This window comes from Homo sapiens, chromosome 2 (genome assembly GCF_000001405.40).
Source record: "Homo sapiens chromosome 2, GRCh38.p14 Primary Assembly".
Taxonomy (NCBI): domain Eukaryota; kingdom Metazoa; phylum Chordata; class Mammalia; order Primates; family Hominidae; genus Homo; species Homo sapiens.
The window spans coordinates 80,411,492-80,434,877 of NC_000002.12; the positions used below are offsets into that span (position 1 = coordinate 80,411,492).

Consider the following 23,386-nt stretch of genomic DNA (forward strand, 5'->3'; position numbering starts at 1 on the left):
ACTATATCATGGGTGGGGAAGAGGGGAGCTTTCAGAATCCCTTGTATATATACTTTACTCGTTCAGGAATCACATTTGTTCCTGGAATGTTTGCTGCTGTCATCATATATACCATTGCTTTTGGTCAATAATGTTCACAGAGCTGGCACAAAGTAGACAAGTGACAGCTTGTGTATGTTAGTATTTAAAGCATGTAGTCTGGGGCCAAGCAATATTGGTTTAAATCCTGCCACTGCCATCTGTTAGCTTTGTGAATGTAGACAAGTGACTTAATTCTATTGTCTCAGTCTCCTCACCTATAAAAGGAATAAAATAGTAGCCAGTGATTTTTGACAGAAATAAACAAGTTATTCTAATTTTTTGGAGCAGTATCTGGCACAAAATAAGCACTAAATGAAGATTGCTATTATGAAATATTAATATTCCCCAATGCTTTTCTGCTCTTGCCACCTCTCCTCATCTCACCGCTGCAGTTACTTCTGTCTTTTGCATATACTCTCCCTTCCACTAGCCTCTCCTTTGCTTTCTTGTGCTGCACCCAGCAACCGTGGGCTCCATTTTCTGCTAACATTTTTAACAGCACCATGTCAAGGTGCTGTACCTGCTAGATTAAGCCATCTGGAGATCCACAATGATCCCAGCACTCCCTGGGACCCTGAGGCAGCTTGTCACTGTCTCTTCTCATAAAGGCAAGTGCTCTTGCATATCGTGGAGGTAAAGGAGGAATTTGACACTGACCTGTGCGTGCTGGGGCAGAAAATGAAATCAACAGAAGGAACTAAGTACCTGTTACTGTCCTTCAGGAAAAGTCCCGATCAACCCTTCCCTGTCCTAGTCCCCATGACTTGTCTCTTTGTTATAACATTTTAAGTAAAGCATTTGTTTAATCTATACAAATAGTAAATTACAGCTGTGATTTTCTTACACACAGCCCATGGCTATATAATGGAACATGAGGAGTAGACTACTGTTATTTCAGTGCATTTGGCCAAAGAAATGAATTGAAATGGCACCAAACTAGTCCACTAATTGATCAGAAATTATTTTCAAGATGTCTCTACCACTTCACCAAAAGGTGATTTGGTGACCATGAAAACTTATTCTATGTATGTCATCTTATCAGTTATCTATTGTCACAACAGTGTAGTGTTAACAGTACCTCAGGGGCATACAGCAATAGCACTTGTAGCTCACTGGTCTGAGGCGGTCATCTTAGCCCGGCCTTCTCCTGTGTCTGGGTTCTGTTGCTCTTAATGGATCTAGGATGGTCTTGACATCGATGACTGAGGTGACTCAGTCATGGTCAATAGGTTCGTCACCCTTTTCCTGGGACAGGCAGTCTAGCCTGGGCACATGCTTCTCATGGGGATGGCAGAGAACAAGACCAAGCCGGCCTAACGTTGAATGAGCCTTTCAAATGTCCACATGCATCATGGTGTCCAACGTCCATTGGCCCTAAACATGACACATGGCCAAGCCCAGAGTCACAGAGGGCAGGCACTACAGAGTTACATGGCAATGGTATGGATAGAAGGAGATAGAAGAATAAGGTTATTCATGCAACAAATCTACTATAATTATCTATTCCATCAGTGAGACATGTTCCTAACTTTTATACTGACTATCAGCACTCACAGAGAAAAAAATCTAAGGGCACATATGTTGATCTGGCTGTTGATCTGGCTCCATTATAAGTGTTGCTAATGATGACAGTTGTACTTTTAATTGATCCAGCAGACCTGAATGAATTTGGTGGACAATGAATGAGATGGGTAGGGAAAAGCACAGGGCCTGATAGAGCTAATTGGTTCCATTAAAAAGAGATGCTAGTATCCCAATTAAAATGATTTTGCTTCATGAAAGACAGTTGGTTTCATCAAGATAATGACCAGAGAATTTCGTGTTTCTCGTATAAGGAAAACTAAATAAAGCAAGAACCATGATTATTCTTTAAATGTCTTCCCTAGGCTTTATAGATATGCCTCTCCTCCCGCTACCTGCTCCCACCCCAACCTGAACAATGAAGAGTGCCTTCATTACCAATGGAGTGTGCATTGATGGCACCTTGGCTTATTAAAGTGACTTTGGGTAGATTATAGCACTGACTGATTACCCTCATTGACCTTCAGACTGGCTAAACTTTGCCAGACTTAATGAAGCTCACTACTTGTCAAGCCCCCTAGGCTGGATGGCTCCTGGCTCAGTCACTTTGTTGCTTTGATTTTACATTTTTAATAACAATGATACCACACAGCTTAAGGAAATATGGCAGAACATGTCAGTAATCATGTAGAGCCTGGAGCAGCCATATTCATGGAAAGATTTAAGGCTTCAGATTTTTTGAGCCTATTTGAAATCACCCTCTAACCCCAGTTTTGACCTTGGCTGGTATTTCTTAAATCATTGTAATGAAGAAGTTAACACTATTATTCTTAACAAGATTTTTGTACACATTTATCTAAATGACAGGGTAGATGTTAAATGGTCAGGCATTTATTAAACATCATCTACCCAGCCTCAACTTGGGTGTTAACTTTTATTTCTGAAAGTCAAGATGGCATTGGGTTGCTCAGACACATAGCCAATTCTGCCTAAAGATTGGCATGCAAAAGGCTTCAACTGCAGGGAAGGTTTAGCAAAGAAAGAAAGCTTTCATCCTGAAGGAGAAACAGGATTGATTAGTAGTAGCTACTTGGAGCACTGTGTTGAAAAGGATTATAAAGTAGTATTTGAGCCCAGCATAAAAGAGTGCAGCACTTGATTAATCATGTCTGGTGTGGACATAGAAAGGAAGCATTGTAGCATACTTGCCATTCCTGTCCTAGTTCATAGCTTTTGATCTTGTTCCTTATAAACAACTCTTCACCTTTTAATTATTTCTTATAAATGTATCTCTATTTATTTTCAACTTCCACTCATGCTTGAATCCCTGAATTAGTTTTCTGTCAGATCTTTTCTTTGCTGGCCACTTTTTTGTTTTCGGGTCAGTATCTGAGTTCCTTTTCTGTGTTCAGAGAATTCCTCATGTTATGAATCTCTGTATAAGAAGCTTAAATGGCCAAAACACTTGTTTTCAAAGAATACTTTCCTCCCGACCGCTACCTCCTGTACTCTTGCAACTAGTTGAGGACGTATGACCCAGAGTTCTGGTCTCTGTTTCACCCAGATGAAAATCAGGTCTGCCTAACATTTTGAATCAAAACCTATTGTCACAAAGACACAGGGTGCCTTAACATTTCTGAATTTTGCCTATTTTGTGAACTGACAGGTCAATCTTTCTGCTTAAATCAGCTAGAATTAGTTTCTAATGCTTGAGACTAAGAATTTGACAATAGGTCTTCTAGGGAGGCATTCCTCAAACTTTATACTGTGGAATAATCACCTAGACATCTTACTAAAATGCAGATTCTGGTTAAAAGCAGGTCTGGATGGGGCCTTGGTTTTGCATTTCTAATAAGCTCCCAGGAAATGGCAGTGGTACTGGTCAGTGGCCCACACTTCTAGTAGAAAGGATCTAAATAAGGGAAGGCAGAGTTTGTAGGAAAATAAAAAGTCTATTTCCAGGTTAAATTAGGGCAGGCCAACTACGTAGCTAATAAACTTCAAAATGTACAAAGGCTCCGAACAGCAGAATTACATTTCTTAATAATGCACAATACTGGGTCAGTAACAGAACACTAGGCAGTTTTCCTTCATGTATGCAAGGGCCTAATTTAATTGGGAGGCAGGGAATGTCTTTTATCTTCAACTCAAAGCACCTCTATCTTTGGCCATGGGAGCCTCCTGTTATTCTGGCTTGCCCCTGGGAGTCTTTGATAGTTCTTTGCTACCTGGCATGACAAGATATTTCAAGCTTATTTGTACACTCCTGGCCTCAGGGTGCCTGGAGTCAGCCCTTTCTCCATGAAGCTCTGTTTTTTTTGTTTTTTTCTTTTTTTGTAGTGTAAAATTGTTTTTCAAGTTGTTCATCACTACTAGGCTAGCCATTATTTTCAGTCTTTTTCATTAGACAGAACTGAGAAAGTGTTTGCAAGTATGCATATGTTTTCAATTTAAAATCTCATGTTTTCAAACGTTGGCAAGGATATGGAGAAAGGAAAGCTTTGAACGTTGTTTGTGGGAATGTAAATTAGTACAATCATAGAAAACAGTATGGAGGTGCCTCAAAAAATTAAAACTAGAACTTCTGGGTAGAATCTGATGGAAATAAATCAATATCTCAGAGATATCTGCACCCCTATGTTTATTGCAGCATTATTTACGATAGCCAAGACATGGAATCAACCAAGTATCCACTGACAGATAAATGGATTAAAAAATGTGATAGGCAGATAAATAGATATATACACAATGGAATATTATTAACCATATAAAAATAGAAATATTTTATATGTGACAACATGGATGGACTTGGAGGGCACTGTGCTTAGTGAAATAAGCCAGACAGAGAAAGACAAATACTGTATGGCATCACTTATATATGGAACCTAAAAACAAACAAACAAACAAGAGGTGGAACTCACAGAAACAAAAAGTAAGCCAGTGGTTGCTAGGGGCTGGAGGTGGGGGTGGTGAAACGGGAAATGCTGGTCAAAGGGTACAAACTTTAAGTTATACAGTGAATAAGCTATGAGAATCTAATATACACCATGATGACTAGCAAAAATGCTGTGCTGTATGCTTGAAATTTGCTAAGAGAGTAGATCTTAAGTGTTCTCACCAATAAAGAAAAAAAAAGGTAGCTATATGAGGTAATGTATATGTTAACTCAATTGTGGTAATCATTTCACAATATATATGTTTATAAAAAATGTATGTTTATCAAATCATCATGTTATACACTTTAAATATATACAATTTTATTTGTCAATTATACCTCAAGAAAGCTGAATCAAATCCGATGTGTTTCTACTGACATTTCTACTTCAGATCTAACACTGGAGAATTTTTCTTTAACTGCTTTCTTCCCCACCAACACTCCTGGTTAGCAAGGACATAGGAAATGATGAATTAAAATTTCATAGTTAATCATTTGCTTTCTTCTACCTTTAAACGCAATAATATTGGAATAATAATATTCATACTTCCCCTATAATTAAAATTACATAAAATACTTAAAATATTTTGGTGTTTTCTATTCCCTTTCTCATCCCCTTTTCACAATGTTGTAATATGTCTTTATTGTCAGAGTATATAAACATTTATACTATATTCTATCACTTTTTAAGTTAATATTTTCCTAGATATTTTAATTCTTAAAATATTTTATTTCTTAAAATAACTAGATAGGAAAAGGTCATGAGAACAATATTCTGAGTTCTTGCATTTTTATCAGATTTTGTATGTCTTATACCCTTGAAAGTCAGTTTTGCTGGTTATAAAATTCTCAGTTTACATTCTCTTTCCTTGAGTATCTTAAAGACAATATTTTCCTTTGGCATAAATCTTTACTATTAAAAAGTCTGGTGATAATCTATTTTTTCCTGTATAAATCATATGCTATATTTGCTGAAATGCAGTTTTTTCCCCCTCGTTTTTCTTTAGAATTCAGTCATTTTACTGGAAAATACCTTGGTTGATAATTACGGGTCAGTCTTCTCAGGTACATGATACATTATTTCAGATTGTAGGTTATTTGTTTAATTTTAAATTTTTAATTTTTCATTAACATATATATGTTTGTGGAGTACAATATGATATTTTAATATATGTATATATTATGAATGATTAAATTAAGATAACATATTAATCATCTTATATACTTTTTTTTTGGTGAGAATATTAAAAACCCACCTTATCAGCAATTTAAAAATATACAGTATTAGAATATAGTTTTAATACATACATATATTCTGGAAAGTTTTCATTGATTACAATTTTTGGTATTCATTCTGTTTTCTTGTTTTGATTTTCTTTATTCATGGACCCCCTGGTAGCCCTGTATTGACTTTTCTTTGCCTATCTTCAATATTTGTCACATTTTCTAAAATGGTTTTTAAGTTCTTTAAAAAATATTTTTTGGATTTGAAACTTTTCTTATTTTATTTGTCTTATGGCATTTGATGTGGTGTTTATTCATTCTTAGTCTTTTTCAAATGATTTTCTTTTATTTATAATTCTTTCTTGAGTTTCATGACCTAATTCTTTAGTTTTTCTTATTCTAATTTATCATGTTCTTCCATATTTTATATTATTTTTATGATGTTTTTAATTTATTTGAAATGGTAGGTTGCAGTTTTAATCTATTTTATAAGCATATCTTTCTGGCATGCTTTCAGTGTGCCTAGGGATGATGGTATTATGTTTCTTAATCTAATTTTTCTTATAACTTTGGATGAGATTTGGCCTTGATAATTTTAAGTTGCTCATTTTTGTGCACATTATCTTCCTGAAGGCTTAGAAAGAGGCTTGATGCAGACAGCTTTTCAAGCTTCCCAGAGCTCTCACTTCTGTTATTTTTGTGTGGTATTAACAAATATGTTTGTCTAATTGTTGAGATAACCTGAATCTTCTTATCTCCCCTACTTTATCTCAACCTTCTCTTCCTTTTGTCTCTGTTGTCCCTGTCAAGTTCAATTTTGATTCCACTCTAAATATCTTTTCCTCCATTGTGGGCCTGTTCTGGAAGAGAGCCACGGCAGGTCAATTTCAAGTGTTCACTGTAGGATCTCCTTCAGACCTTCTTACCCTAGGCGCTGCCATTTGTTAACTTATGACTGCAGACAAATTATTTAACTTTTTAAAGTCCCAGCTTCTTCATTTGAAGAACTAGTATAAGAATCATTCCTATCTAATAGTGTGTAATAGGAATGAAATGATGTAATATGCAAAGATTTTAGCTCAGTAAATGACACATTATACATGAGCTCACTAATAACCAACATTATCCCAGGCAGTAATTTAATACACTTTGTCAAATGAGTATGTGGGAGATGTCAACTTTACATAGACTTTATTACATTTTATAAGGTAAAATGTCAGACACAATTCAGAGTTAAACCAAACTAAGTTATACATACTTTCATTGCATACGTTATAGTAATTCGTGCAAAAAGGAATTGAGATTTGTTCTTAATTTTCCTTGTTCTGACCAATAACGAACGTGTGGGTGTCATCCTATCAAGAGATTCACTTGAATGCTCCTGGATAGGTATATTTGTTTGGAAAACATGCAGAGTGTTTATCATCTTCTCTTCTGTTTATTTTTATGTATATCCCATATACATTCAGATAATTATGAACAAAACAGCACCAAGGTAATTTTTCAGGGACAGTTTCATTTTATTTTCAAGCAGCTGCCCTGTTTTCTATTTTAACAATGTGGGAATGATGTATAATTATGCATTGTTAGAAGATTTGGGCTTGTTTATTCTCATTTATCTTGAAGAATAATTATAAGTATTTCTGGAACATAGCAACTATGTCATCATAGCACCTGGGCACAAACAGTTTTGAGATTGTTAGATGTTTCATGTTTCTGCTTCTATCTAACACAAACAATGGATCTAGAATGGGCAGGAGACTGCACAGTGGCCAAGTTTCACGGTTGGCTTCAAAGTTTAGATCTTTATCTAAAGTTCTCCCGACTTGTTGGTTGATGCCTAGATTTTTCCTTTTCAAAGAGCCTGAATTCTTCAACTGTGTCATGATTCAAAACATCCAGAAGGTTCGGGTCAATGAAGGATGAGAGAAGGCCTTTGATGGGAGAGGACCCATAGTGTGTATTGAGCAACAGGCCATTATGTAACTTTCAAGTTGACATATAATATGTTTAATTCACATGCTTCCATCAGTCATTGGTTTTCCTTTAATAATGTAAGCACTGGGAAAATTTTAAAAAGAAAATAGGAATATTATCTCCATGGGTAATGAGAGCTCAAAAACAGTTTAGAAAAAAAATGGGCAATTATACTATTTCTTAATTGTATGTCATTTTTTGTTTTTGTTTCAACTGTAGCTTCGGAAAGCAGTGATGGATCACATATCTGACTCTTTCCTGGAAACCAATGTTCCTTTGCTAGTTCTCATTGAGGCTGCAAAGAGCGGAAATGAAAAGGAAGTGAAAGAATATGCCCAAGTTTTCCGTGAGCATGCCAACAAACTGGTAGAGGTAAGTGTGGAGGGGCCTGAAGACTAGAGTTTACCGATGGGTTCAATCTCTGCATATGGCTCTTAGAATTTCACTAGAGAGATATTCTATTGTATTTTTGGAGAAATAAAGTCCTGGAATCATTCTTTCCTTTACTTTCTGATTACTGTACCCCCTTTCGAAGGAATCAAGCTACGAATCATCTTTCTTTTATCTGTCTCACAATTCTAAGCATGCTCTGAAACATATCTGCCATTTTTCCTGAACAACAAGCAGGAGCTGAAACAAAAGAAGTGGAAGGGAACTCTGGAGTGCTGAATACCAGTTTTGATTTGAGGGAGTAAATTAAAATTTCTGAATGGAGGCCTAGGACACTTCTCCCTTTTTTCCCACCTCAAACCCCTGTCCACTCCACCCAGTGGTGCCTAGATGCTGTCCACACTGGGAACTTGTGAAAAAAAAAAAAAAAAAAAAAAAAAAAAACCCACCTTCCCCAAAGAGATGTTTGAACTTTTGGTGGAAGATCTTGGGGCAGTACTAGGGTAAGTTAAGCATTGTAAGTATATTTTATGTGTTAGAGGAATCTGTGGGAGTTGTTTTATAAATGCAAAATTTTATGGGGTAATATTGAAAAAAAATATTGTACAAAGTAAATGACAACTAGGCTGCCTAAATTTAGGAGCTGAAAACGAACAGCCTGGCAAAGGTAGGATTAGTGATGTGGGGCTAAATACAATAGAAAATAGAGTTGTTGCACAACAAAATATGTGTGCTAGAGAACAAGAGCCCAGGAGGGATGAGGATGGATCCTGGAAAATTTAGGGAATGGTTATTAGGGCCAGGTTAAACTTTTACAGGCTCTGAGCACTTAATCCTACCACCACCACCACCACCACTGTGATGCATTCCCACTTTAATTCATAATAAAATAAAATCACTTAAAATGACAGAAAACTTAAATGCAAGCTGAAAGGAAAATAAGTTCTTTTTTTTTTCATTTGGATGGAAAAATCAAAATCCTCAGAAAGTTCTTTAAATGTGAAATCCTCTCTGCTTTTCCTGGAGTGGGTGATGGGGGTGGTGTTCGATTTAGTTGCATGCTAAGCACCTGCTTAGTTTGCGCCTTGGTTAATCCAGCACTGCAGGTGCCTCGGGCTGAAGTCACCCAGCCAACAGGAAGTCCTACATCAAGCCTCTGCTTCTCTAGGATACAGGCTGAGCCATCATCCATGACAGCAGTCAGCAGGTTCTATGTGCAAAAGCCTTGGCCACAATAATGGAAGCTTTGAACTTCCTGCTGTAACCCCAATGTCTTGAGAAAATACCAGCCTAGAGCTAAAACTAGGGTAATACAATATCAAAGCAGTTTTTCTGGCTCTGTTCTCTCATATCAGGCAAGCCTTCTATCACCCTTCACATTCCACCTACATGCTCGGAGAGTTCACTTAGCTATTTAGGGATCCAGAGTCTTTCCAAGGTTGACCTTGGAAGCTCTGATCACTTTCGTATTTTGAGAAGGGGAAGGCGGAGAAGGAGGAGGATATGGGTACAGAAGGAAGGGAAGAAAGAGGAGGAGGAAAAAAAAATAATGCTGATGGGTGCTACAAAGCTTTAAATATTCACATGTAATAAAATAATGTTAGCATATAAATATACCATCCCATCTGTATAATTACAACATTTACAAGATAACTGCAGAGTTTACTGAAAATATTCATTGATGGTGTGTTGTAGACACTCTGGATGAAGAATGGGACATGGATTTCAAGTTGTGTGATAAACATCTACTTTCAGTCCTATTAGTGCCTTTACTTCATTTGCAGGACATATTTGAATTTCAAACTTAACATCTTGTGTAAATATGAGACTGGGGCCAAAGACCCAGCTTTTTCCACTCATTCTCCTTTCTCCTGTGACAGGCGCTGGACACATCCACCCTCTCCCCTTATTCTGTCTTTAGGTTCCATTGTAGGTAAATCTGTTCACTACATGTGATTCTTGATCCTCAACTTGTGACAAGCTGAAAGCTTAGATTACTTGCAGCTCCACATTTCAGAAAACTGCACTTTGCCTCCATCAGGTATTCCCTTCATTTCCCATGGATGGTCACTGTGGCCAGCAGCATTTTAATGTCTTGATGCCTAGGAGATACAGGGGCTAGTGTGTGGTCTGGCCTCTGTGTGACTAGGGAGTAACTGAAATCTACAAGTTTGCATATATACAAAAAAAAAAAAAAAAAACCCAAACTTGAACCACCGAGCTGAGTGTTAGCCTTTTTCTAGTTTTGAAAAGTGTGTGGATATGGGCACCTTTCTTAGTTTCTGTGTCTGTAATATGAAAAAGTCGGTTTGTATATTGATTTTATATCCATTGAACTTGATAAATTCAGTTACTAATTCTAAAATTTTGATAATTTCCTTTTGGATTTTCTATGTACATAGTCATGTGCCTGCAAATTATGACTGTTGTATTAGTCTGTTCTCATGCTGCTAATAAAGACATATCATATGCAAGACTGGGTAATTTATAAATGAAAGAAGTTTAATTGACTCACAGTTACACATATGTGGGGAGGCCTCACAATCGTGGCGGAAGGCAAAGGAAGAGGAAAGACACATCTTACATGGCAGCAGGCAAGAGAACTTGTACAGGGGAAGTCCCCTTTATAAAACCATCAGATCTCATGAGACTTATTCACTACCAGGAGAACAGTATGGGGAAAACCACCTCCACGATTCAGTTATCTCCACCTGGCACCACCCTTGACACATGAAGATTATTACGACTCAAGGTGAGATTGAATAGGAACACAGCCAAACCATATAAGTGTATTTCTTCTTTCCCAATACTTATAGTTTGTTTTTTTTTTTTTCCTTGCATTATAGTACTAGCTAGGACCTACAGTACAATATTGTGGTGATAAATATTTTTGTGATTTCTGGATCTCAGTGGGGAAATTTCAGTTCTTTCCCATTAATTATATTGCTTGCTCTATGTTTCTTTCAGATACTTTAATTAGGTCAAGCTAGTTCTAGTACCCATTTGCCAAAATACTTTTAAAAAACTATGAATAACTATAGAATTGTATCAAATGCTTTCTCTGCAGATGTTGAGATGATTTTCTCGTCTCCTTTATTCTCTTTCAGAGGAATTGATATCAAAGTTATGCTTTCCCTTAAAAAATGAATTGAAAATTTTTTCTTCCTTCTATTTTTTGGAAGTGAATGTATAAGATGAGCCTCATTTATTTTTTAAATGTTTGGTAGAATTCACTGATAAAACAATGTGAGTGTGGAAAGGTTTAAAATCATATGACTATTTAATTTTTTTAAATTTCTTTTAAGGTCAGTTTTGTTAATTTGCCTTCTAGGAATTTGTCATTTAATTTTCTAATTTACTGGCATAAAATTGTCCATAATACATTTGTATTTTTTGTTAGATGTATAAGGATCTGCAGTACGGTTTCTTTTTTCCCCACTCCTCATTTAGCTAATTAGTATGCTCTCTTTTTTCCTTGATTAGTTTTGCAGATAGTTTATCAATTTTAAAAATAAGCTTTCAGCTTTATAGATTTGTTTGTATTCTATTTTATTTATCTCTGCTCTCTTTATAGTTCTTTTTGGTTTTTTCCTGCTTTCTTCCAGTAAAACTTACTTCTTCTTTTCTAACTTATTGGAATGGATAATCATGTCATTAATTTCTTGCCTTTCTTATTTTAGTGCTGTACTCATTTAAGGATATAAATTTCCCTCTAATCTATGCTTAAGTCTGGTTATTTTCTACTGCTCTAATTTTAAGTTCACTTATCCATGTGGGTCCAATATACTCAAAACTTATATATTGAGTTCAATTTTTTTTTAAATTTCTAGTTGATTCTTTTTTAAAGGGACTCCAATTCTCTAGTAAAATTTATTATCAGGTCATCTCCTTTAAAAAAATATTAATCACAGTTATTTCAAAAGCCTAAGTCAAAGAACTCCAATGTTTGGATCAATTTTGTTTTTGTTTTGGGGCGGCTCCACAGATGGCAGCCCCCAACACATCCAAAATCCACTGGGATGTTAATATTGATGATGCAACACACCCACCAAGAGGGTCCAGACAGGTTTATTGCTCATGTAATGGGACTTCAGGGACAGCAGAGCAGGCAACCATGCCAGTTCATAATGGTTCAAACAAAGAGAAGAATAAGTGGGTTTAGTTTTTATCATGTTAGGGCATGTGGCTGGGATCAGGATTTCTATGTGACAGCCAGGATTTGAGTGGTTTGTATTTCCCAATAGCAATAAAAAGGTGGCCCCTCTTATCAGTTTGCCCATTTTGGGGACAAAAGGGAAATGGGGGAAGGGTAGGACTGACTTAAAAACTGTCAGCAAACGTTCTTTTTTTTTTTGAGATGGAGTCTCGCACTGTCGCCTGGGCTGGAGTGCAGTGGCGCAATCTCTGCTCACTGCAACCTCCACCTCCCGGGTTCCAGCAATTCTCCTGCCTCAGCCTCCCAAGTAGCTTGGATTACAGGCACCCGCCAGCAGGCCCAGCTAATTTTTGTATTTTTAGTAGAGACGGGGTTTCACTATGTTGGCCAGGCTGGTCTCAAACTCCTGACTTTGTGATCTGCCCTCCTTGGCCTCCCAAAGTGCTGGGATTACAGGCGTGAGCCACCGTGCCCGGCCCAGCAAACATTCAAAATAGACTAGCACTGTTCATTACAGTTCACCCTTATTGTCTGACTGATGACTGGAATGTGCCATGTTTCATATTATTGAATTTAGACATGTTTAAGTGAACTATTATGGGACTCTATGAGGCTTTGAAAATGGAGACAGACTTTATTGCTTGTCTGTTTTTATTAATTTTTCTTGTGATTGTGTTTTTTGATATGCTGGGTGATATTGGATTGAATGGCAAACATGTGTGTGGACAGATATAGAGGGTCTGGATAATGTGTTCTCCTTCCAGAGAGGATTCACCCTATTTTCTGTTGGGCAGCAGAGAGGCAGACCATTTCATTACAATCAAAGATCAAAGTGACTTGAACCTAGGTTGTAGCACTTCTAAAGTTTAGCTTACCCTTCTTTCACCACAGTCCTGAAGAATAATCTTCCAGGGTGGCCAACTGAGGATCAGATGTGTCACCTTATTTGTGAAATCACAAACCCCAATTTTTGTTTTTTAACACCACGAGACTGAGTTTGCTTTGCCTTGCTTTTTGGATGGTCTCAATTTGCTTCTTGCCTGTTGCTATTTGCAACTTAACTGACTGTCAAACGCCTTGGGGAAAAACTGGGGATGAAGCTCCAAGCTCGCTTCTTTGAACCTCTCTTCTCTATGGGATCTTAAGTCCAAGTTGGCTGCCTCAGCGGGGCTGTGCTCAGCTCCATTTTCTGCCTCCTCAGCCCTATGAGATTGCTGAAAACTCCAAGGAATTCTCTTCCTCTCAGCAGCGACCTTCTTTCTGACTTCTCAGATTCTCCTTCAACACTAAGAATTAGCAAATCCCGGCGAGGGTGACTGGAGTGACAGGCGGAAGGTTAGGCTCCCCTCAATGAGCCTCTCTTTTTGATGTAGTTTAAGTTTTGACATCTTTGGCAGCTCTCCTTTGCTTTCAAGCAAATTGCTTTTATTGTGTATTTCTAGTGGTTCTCAGCAGGCAAGTGGGTCTCTTGTAGGCTACTCCGTCATGTCAAGAAGCGCAAATTCCTGAGAGGGCTCATTTAGATAAGTTTATGGTGTTTTGTTGTTGTTGTTTTTGTTGTTAGTATTTTTAGTCAGACATCTTTTTATCCAGTGGAAATTTTGCGACTTACATACCTCAAAAAAATAAATGAATAAATCAATAAAAACAGTTCTGACTGAACTGAAATAACAAGCTTGGAGGTCTACTTCCTACAATTCCCTCACTTAATGCCTCTTCTCCCCATTAAGCACAACCTTCCAATCCTTCCCAGGGCGCCTTTGATCTCTGTTTGAAAACCTCTGATGAATCTCTACATTTCCATTAATCACATAAGAATCATTCATAAATATGTGAAATAATCAATCTATGAATCAGTGATGATGGTTTTAGTCCTTCAACATTTTTCTTGAGTTTAATGATAGTATATTCAGTTTGCTATCTATTTTATGGGTTTTTTTTCCCTTGTATTTGTGTGCCATTTTTTCCAAGTTTGACATTCATAAAAATAGAGTCTATGAAGTGATTGGGCCCTTTTACAACCTACAGAACTTGAGAACCTTAGAAAAGTCCTCAGCAAGGACAGTTTTAGTATATATAAAATATTAGTAAAATGTTCATAGGAAAAATAATATGGGTTCTCATAATTGCTTTAACAAGTGAAATTTTGAGAAGCTTTTGTTGTTGTTGTTGTTGTTTTCTCCACAATATTTAAAACATTTAATAAAATTTGGGGAAACTTCCACTGGGGTGTGTTGATTAGAATTTAACAGGTCAACTATGATGTAAAGTCACTATAGGAAGTATCATCTGTAGAACTAGATAAAATAATTATTAGTAATTTCCTCTCATCTTCAGAATCATGCCCTTCTAAAGATTAGCTAAGGACTTCAGGGTGGGGCCGACCCTGAGGGTATGCCGAGCTGATCCAGAAACACCTGTGGTACCTCACGTCTAAGCCTTCTGGAGAAATGGAATACAAATTATGGCAACTCAGCAGCAAAGCAGTTCGGTCAGGGCTGGGGTGGAGTGGGTGTAATTTGGGTACAAAATATGCATCGCCACAATGAAAATAAAAGCTAATCTTGAAAATGAGATGCAAGATCAACATAGCTATTTTGGGCCTCTGAACTTGTTTTATTCCTTCCATTGCTTGCCTGCTCAGTCAACCTGCCTGCTTTCCCTTCTCCTCCCATCTCTACCATGCACACCTGAGTGCAAGCCACACATTCTATTGTGCAGGCAACTGCAGTGGCCTCCCCACAGGCCTCTTTTATCTGCCTGGCCCTCTACAGTCCCTTCTGCACAGAGCAGTCAGAGTGAATTTCTAATAATGCAAATAAAATCATATAATTTCCCTGCCTGAGGCCATTCAGAGACTTCCTCTTCTTATCAGGTTAAAGACCAACATTGTAAAGAAGCTTACGTGGCTTTCAGGATTTGACCTTCTCTTCAGTCTTCAGGCTCACCGTCCTGTCCCCTCCTTCCTCCACCACCCCCAACAAGGAATCAGCCACACTTGCCATCTTTTGCTTGTTAAATGTGTCATACTCCCTCCCATCCTAGACCTATGCTTGTGTTGTTTGTTTCCTGATGCATTCCCCACTCTATCCTTTCCTCTAGTTTCTAGGCATTGTTCAGCTTTCAGCCTGAATATCATGGCCCCAGGTGGGATCAGTTCCTTACGTCTTTCACTTCATGACATCCCTTTTACTTTAGGATTGTAACCATTCAGCTCTACAACTGTATGCTAGTTCTTCTGCTTAGTTTACCAATTCCTTTAGGAAAGAGATCAGGTCTAATTGAATCCTAACTACAACCCAGCTCCTAGCCAAGCACCTAGCATATAGCAGGTATTCAAGAAAGAGATGGTGCTTAAAAGAGAATAAAATAATAAATGTAGCCAGTGATGTTGCCAGCTTTTGGGCCCCTGAGGGAATATATTTCTATAGCACAGTTGTAGGATCCTAAAGGTCACCTTGGAGATCAGCAGTAAAGAGGCATTGTACTTTTTTAATTGTCTAATTTATTACCAAGAAGAAATTTCAAATCTGTGAAGAACTAATGTGAAGAAATACTATTTGTACCAAGTAGAAAACACCTGCTGTTTGCTACGAGGCTCCCTGAGTTGAATTAACTCTCTCAAGAGGCTCCCAAAGTTGTGTCCCTAACTCCACTATCATTCCTTTCCTGTCCTCTGCCTGACAAGCATGCTTTGGGTTCTCATCCTCAGCTAGTGGATGTGAGAGAGGGAGCTGGCTCTATCTGACAAAGTAAAGTACAGCACTGAAGCCATAGCAATGATGAGTTAGACAAGGGAATCTCAATTCTTTGCTTCATCTTCTTGACTTAGTTACTCCTGATAGCAGTGCCCCATGAAGGATGAGAAGCTGTATCTACTGGAAATTCAGGGCTTGGAAGTCAGAGTCAAACCCTAATACTCAGAATCACTAATGTGATCATCCATCAGTTCAGCACCAGAGTGCCTTCCTTTCACCCTTGAGTAAATTGCTCTTCTCAATTAATCCTTCCCCTTGCACAATGCTGCATTCAGCAATATTTCCTGAGAGGCCCATGTGCTGATGCTGGTCTAGTTGCTGGCAACATAACCATGAACAAATCAGAGGAAGTTCCTGCTCTCATGGGACATGCATTCTCTTGGGAAAGATAAGAAAGGGAGAGGTAAGTGTATACTATGTAAGGCAGAACTATGTGCTGTAGCACAAAATTAAACAGAGTAGGATGATAAAGAATGAAGGAGGAGGGCATGTGAGGTCGGGAAAGTCTTCCCTTCTAAGATGACTATTAAATGGAGATGTGAAGGGAGTGGAAGAACATTCCAGACTGTGAAAAAAACAAGTCCAAAGACCCCAGGGCAGCAGTGTGCTTTGCAAGTTTGGTAGAAAACAAAGAGACCAGTGTGACTGGAGCCGAGAATGAGAGGAAAAATTACAGAGATTAAATTGAGAGCTGGGTATAAAGATTTTGTAGTTTACTCAGATATTGAGTTCATTGGAAGGTTTTGAACAAAGGCATGACATAATCTGACTTCCATTTTTAAAAGTTCACAGTGCTGCTTGATGGAAAATATAGAGTAATAAAAAGCAAAGAAAGAAGAATATGTCCAATGATATTGCAATAGTCCAGCAAGTGATTAGTACTATGACTAGAAGAGAGGCAAGGTCAGTGGGAAGATGCGGCTCAATTTTCCTGTATTTTGAAGGTTGAGCTGAGATATTGGATGTTGGGATGTGTGAGACAGAGAAGAGTCTGGGATGAATCCATATTTTGATAAGCTGCAGTGACATAATCAGTTGAAACTTTAATAAAACATAGCCTACAATCCCAGACTGTTTCTCAGTTGGCTCTGGCTTCAGTTGTCTGATAGATGTGGTCCTAAAACCCCTACACAAATGTCCTGGGTTTAAATAAATGTAAGAGTTTTGTATGTTCCAGGGCCTTGTTTCAAACCATGAACTAAAAAGAAAATCTAGAAAAATTGCATCAACAACTATATTGATGATGATCATGCCACTGCACTTCAGCCTGGGTGACAGAGTGAGACGCTATCTCAAAAACAAAACAAAACAACAACAAAAAACTACATTGATGGAATTGGACCTCCATGCATTTTTTTAAGACAAACCCAATATTTTCATACCCCTTTTTCTCCTTGCTGCCTTCCTCAATACAGCTAATAATATTTGAACTACAACTGAGTTACTGAAGTTTCTCTAATCAATTGAGCCATAGCAATTCTGTAAATAATAATACTCTATAAGAGCTATTTTGTTCAGCTCACTTATGTTAAACTTACAGTAAATTTTGTCATTTAAGAAGTATATATTCCAGTACTATTCTCCTCCGTAATTTAAGAATTCCCCAATTCTTAAACCCTACCATATTTTGTAAGGTTTTCTATAATACACAATAAAGCATTGCAGAAAAGTTCAAGGCCCCCCCTTAGACTCTTAATAACTATTTAGATATAAAGCTAGGGTTTTAAAATTAACTATTTATAACCTTATTTAATGCTTCTGACAACCTTATGAAGTAGCCATTATTTTTTACTTCAAATTACAGATGAGAAACCTGAGGTTTTAAGAAGTTTAATAATTGACCCAATGTCACATAGCTAGAAAGAGGCAGAATCCATGCATAAGCCCGAGTATCCCAGACTCCAGAGACCACATTCTTAGCCACTGTGCCACACTGCCCCCAGGCTCTTATTCAAGGTATCTGTACAGCCTAAAGTCTGATCCTTCATGTAATTATTTAGTACAGTTTCTGTCCCCAAAGTAATTGTTTAAAAATGTTAGCTGCTGATGTTGGCGTAATTGTATAGGCATTAAATTTCATATCTCTGAAATCACATTTTAGAGAACAGCTTTATTTTACTGCACATACCCTGAAAGTAATACATATTACTGCAGAAGAATTCTTATATACTAGTGGAACAGATCATGCAAACTGCTTTCAGGTACTGATATTGGGCAGTGAACTAAGCTCACCCACCAGCTTCACGAGTCTTCACCTGCACAGTTTGCATCGTTCATATCTGTTCAAATTACTAAATGCCGCAGACTTTCAAGCTTGCTTGCAAGTTGGTGGAGTCCAAGGACATTTAGTATTTTTATGTCAAAGGTCTGTTGCAGTGCTTGAATTAACTATGCACATAATGTAAATACTACCAGGTAACATTTCAATATTTATACCATAGGCAAACTATAAAGCGTAGAGCCATGATTATGAAATCAATTTTTTTCATATGTAAGAGAAACCAACTATTAGTTTCCATGAAAACCTTCCAATGGACTCAAATATCTAAATAAAATACAAAATCTTTATACCCAGCCCTCAATTTTGTCTCTGTAATTTTTCACTGACATTTAGATAAAAACTAACCATACCGTATGTAAACCTCCAAATTATATTCCAATAGGTGAATTAAGTACCCTTACAAAGAAATATCCAGAAAATAGAGGGCAATTAACTATGTTGTCCCTACCTAAGGAGGAGAAAGAGAATCAACACTTAGCTTGTTCCCTATGCTAGATACCATGGTAATGTTCACACATTATCTCTTCTAATCCTCTAAGGAAGTGCTTTAATAGTTAATATCATAATTTTGCAGATGAGAAACCTGAGGCTCAAGGAAACTAAAAGTAGCCTGACCAAAGTCACTAGATGATGGATGAGTGACAGAACCAAATGAATTCAAGTTCCCTGGGGTCCATGTTCTTTCTCCTGTTCCATATGCTTGCTCTACCTGTATAGATTCATATTTATAAATATTAACCTTGTACATTCCTTACCTGCCTACCCTCACCATAATAAAATCATAAGCCAGCATACTGGTAATATTGCTTAGTATACTCTCCAAAGTTGAGGAAGAGTGGTGTGATGGATTAGAAAGATTCCCAGGAAACTGGCATCTGGACTTTAATAGTAGTGTTGCCACATTAGACATTAGAAGGTTACATTTCATGTTGCTTCTGCAGACAGGTAGAAAATATTTGGTCTTTTGTTATACTAATTAGTTTTGGTGTTTCATCATCTAAGTAGGGAGTGTCTATTCTCTGCATGTATGTATATACATATATATGTATGTTTTCTCTTGTATTTTGTGTTTTCTGCAACTGTTGAAAGGTGTGTATATATTATGCAGCTACCTCAGAAAAGTTATAACCTTATATTGTTAAGATCAGACACCTTCAATGCAAAAATAAAAAAGTCACCCCCAGTAAAAATGATGTGGTATGTAAGAGCAAGAAGTGTTTTAATTGCCCAGGAAAAAAATTCTTCGATGTTAGAAGTTCAATTTCTTCTAACTCTGAGGGATTTTTAATGTCACAAAGCCTTCTAGCCAGCCTGAAGCCATAGTTGGAGAGGGATTGTGTATTGGGACATTGCTTTTTAGAACCAAAAATGAGTTTTCAGGTTTCTTTGACTCCGTTAGTTTTAGAAGGAGGTGGAGTTCAACTTCACAAAGCCTGCCCAAGGCTCAGTGGGTATGTACTTTCAACCCTTACCTTAACAGACAACATTGGGTCCTTTGGACCTGATGACTGGAGTTTCTTTGATGTGTAATGATTTACCCCTACTGCTGTGTGTGTGGACAGATCACTTTAATCCTCTGACCCTCAGATTTTGCATCTGGCTTGTCACTATTTAGGTGCCGCCTATCTTTGATATTTTACAATTCTCAGGACCTTTCCCAATTTCAGATTCTAGGAAAAGGGAAGACATGTTCTAGGGTGCATTTGTGGTTGAATCTTGAATTTGTGGGTTACAAGGAAAACATGTCATTACAGTGGTTTCCCAGGTGGCCTCACACTCAGGTGAACAAGGAACTGAAGCTTGGAGTACAGCTGGTAGTTGAGCTGTTCTAAATCGTGAACTGATCGGCAATATGGAACCCATCACTCCTTATTGTACTCCCATAACTTAGGTCTGTGACTGATCCGATGTCTGAAACACAGGTTTGAATAACTCTTAATCAGCTTGGTCATTATGTAAGTAGAAGCCAAAGAGGGAATATAGGTCTGTGCCTGTCACATACCAAAACCTACACCTTAGCTAAATGACATTCTGTTATTAACTGAGACCATCGGTTTATAAAAATTAAAAGCTTCAACTTTTTGGTTTTTTTTTTCTTTTTCTTTTTCTGTAGGCACATTAGTGCCTGTTGGTAAAAGCCAGTAATTGTGAGTGGCCACAGTGCCCAGGGTTGGCAGGTGGTGTGGCATTCTTTTTATTTTTTAGTTTTAATAATATATTTAACACAGTATAACCAAAATATTACTTCAACATGAAATTAATATAAAAATTACTAGATATTTTACATTCTTTTTTCACACTCAATCTTTAAATTCTAGAGTGTATTTTTTGCTTACAGTACACCAGGCCCTTGAATAACATCGTTTTGCTTATTAGCACATCCTTTTCCAGTCTCCAGAAACATTCTCTGTCCCTCAAAGCCACTCCAGTATGTGCGAGTATGTGTGTTAGACACATACACATGTTCTTTGATCTAAAGAACAGATTTTTTTAATCATATGTAAAATACAACATGAGCATCTTTTGGGGAAAAAATTGATGTTTTAATTGACCTTAATGTAAAAATCTAAGTAAATACTGTTTGTAATACAAATGCACCTTTTGAAAATTTCCCCACTACCACTTCCCACCAGATTGCTGCCTTTGGCTGCTCCTATTTAGACATTCTGGAGCTGCCACAAAGTGTGAATATCACACATCCAAGGTGCCTGGGAATTGAGTCAATATTTTCACATAATACCGGTGGCCACCAAAATATAGTTACTTACTTAGACTGACAGATTGTTATTTTTTCTCTTAAAACAATAGGACCCTCATTATTTATCTTTTCTAAACCTTTTCTTGGAAGATCAAAAGAACAAACCTGCCCTTCCAAATCTGTAAAGTATCCCAACCAAATGATTCTCTTACCAAGTTGATAGGAGGGGAATCCAAGACACATGAGCTCTATCACCTTCCCTTACCCACACACATTTTCTTATTATTTTATTACTTAATTTTTTTTTTGAAAAGAGTGGTTTATAACTTAATTTTAGAATACAAGGTAGTTGGATGGTAAAGCCTGTAATGTATCTTTAAAAATGGATTTCAGGCTGCCTGTATGAGAAAAGGTGCTCAGCTTTTCTGTAAAATGTCATGACAGTTTCTGCACAGAGACTGGAGACTTGGAGAATGTTAACGGCAGTGGGGCAGTAGAGTACTTTATGGATCAATAGTTTTGCAAACTAAAAATAGCCTGTGATGGGACCTATCCCAACACAACACTCAGCTAAAGAGGCTGTTTTCATCCCCACAATCAAGTATCTCAAAAAGTCAAGTCTTTTCAAGTAGGTGACTTCAAGTATCTCTGTTACGTAGAGCTTAAAAAAACCTAATTTGCAATTTACATCCAAATTGGCACACTTTTCCTGTGCCTATTCTGTAAACACCATGCCAGCCAGGTGTTTGTGTCCATCCTGGCTGGCCAACGTCTTAGCCTCATCCCCGTCTGGGGAAGGGGCTCAGGTGGGAACCCCGCCATCTCAGTGACCACTGTGGAGGGTGAATCATACCCCTCCAGGTAAGGTTCACAGCTGAAAAAGCCAAAGCCAAACACACAAATAATGGGGCAATAAGGAATTAAAGCGGGCCCCATTCTTGCAGAGGACACGGGGAATACAGCTAGATACAGTGCAGGAGGAGAGATTCAGGCTGTCGCCGCAGGGTCAAAAGTTCAGACAAGCAGAACAAGGAAGACTGGAGAGTTCATATGTTGGAGGAAAGTGGGAAAAGAAAGGGAAAGCAGGGAACCTGGTTGCCTCTGCTCACAGCTCTTCCTGATGCAGCTCTAATTCATAAGTTAAACTCTTGTTTTTCTGCCCTTGAATTTTGCCTTGAGGACCATTTTCCTCTCTCACTGACTTCACAGACTCTGTCTGACCTTTCTTATTTCTCCCCATGGTCCTCCTGTCACCAGAAACCTTTCAAACGGTTATTCTATATGCTTGTAGATTCTAGTGCCTTGCTACAAATATAGGTTATATTATTGACCATTATTTCTCCTGATAGTTTTCAGGGGAAAAACTGCTGATGTCCAATGAATTCTCTTGGTTTGATTTTTGCCTGGAAATTTGAGAGTAACAATTACTTTTCTCAAGATGAAAACAATTCAACCTTTGTCCCAATTGCTTAACTAGAATTGTGGAAGAAAGGCTTTTGCTCAAATACTGTTAATAAATGACTGCCTCAGAATTCTGAAGAGTTTCTCACGGTCAAAAAATACTAATGACATGTGTGCAAGTGATTTTCTTGCCTGATAGAGTCCAAGTGTACATCCACAACGAAAAGCATCAAAGCTAATATTTCTTTAGCCTATCTTGGAGAACTTTAGCGTGAAATGACAATTTCCATGACAAGTTGTCTTAGAAATGAAGAGAGGTTTTCATTTTCATGTAGTTGCTCATAATTTTCTACTTATCGCTTCTACAACAACTTTCAAAGCAGTGAATGTTCTGTTTTGTTCAAAAACATGTATAATTTTGCAGAAACTTAATGTACTTGTAGCTATTCTGGTGGTGTACTTTTAATTGCTTTTCATTCTGGAAAACTATGCTTGATGATCATGACTTCGAAGGAGCTGATGATCGCTACTTCGATTGTTGTCATTGTTGTCTGTCTTTCTTTCTGTGTCTCTTTTTTTTTTTTTTTTTTTTTTTGAGCCAGGGTTTCACCCTGTCACTCAGGCTAACATACAGTGGTGTGGCATGATCATGGCTCACTGCAGCATTGACCTTCTGGGCTCAGGTGATCCCTTCTGGGTAGCTGGGACTGCATGGCTAATTTGTTGTGTTTTTTGTAGAGACAGGGTTTTGCCATGATGCCTAGGCTGGTCTGGAACTCCTGGGGTCAAGTGATCTGCCCACCTTAGCCTCCCAAAGTGTTAGAATACTAACACTCATTTAAAAAATTAAGCAGGAGATCACTAGGCAGAGAATTGGGAAAGAAATTCCTGGCTCAATGTATTGCAGGAGTTAAGGCTCACAGGTAGCAAGTGTGCAATATGTCAGGGCACTATGGAGAGATGC

At 37.7% G+C, this 23,386-nt stretch overlaps 1 protein-coding gene across 14 annotated transcripts in view; it reads left to right on the forward strand.

Moving 5' to 3' along the window:
* The window catches only part of CTNNA2 (catenin alpha 2), a 1,463,404-nt gene that overhangs the window by 1,226,115 nt on the left and 213,903 nt on the right, over nucleotides 1-23,386 (forward strand). For all 14 annotated transcript variants that reach the window (NM_001399737.1, XM_024452714.2, XM_011532556.3 and 11 more), the window contains one exon: nucleotides 7,958-8,110. In NM_001399737.1, the coding sequence (NP_001386666.1) occupies nucleotides 7,958-8,110 (153 nt within the window). The remainder of the gene's footprint in view (nucleotides 1-7,957; nucleotides 8,111-23,386) is intronic.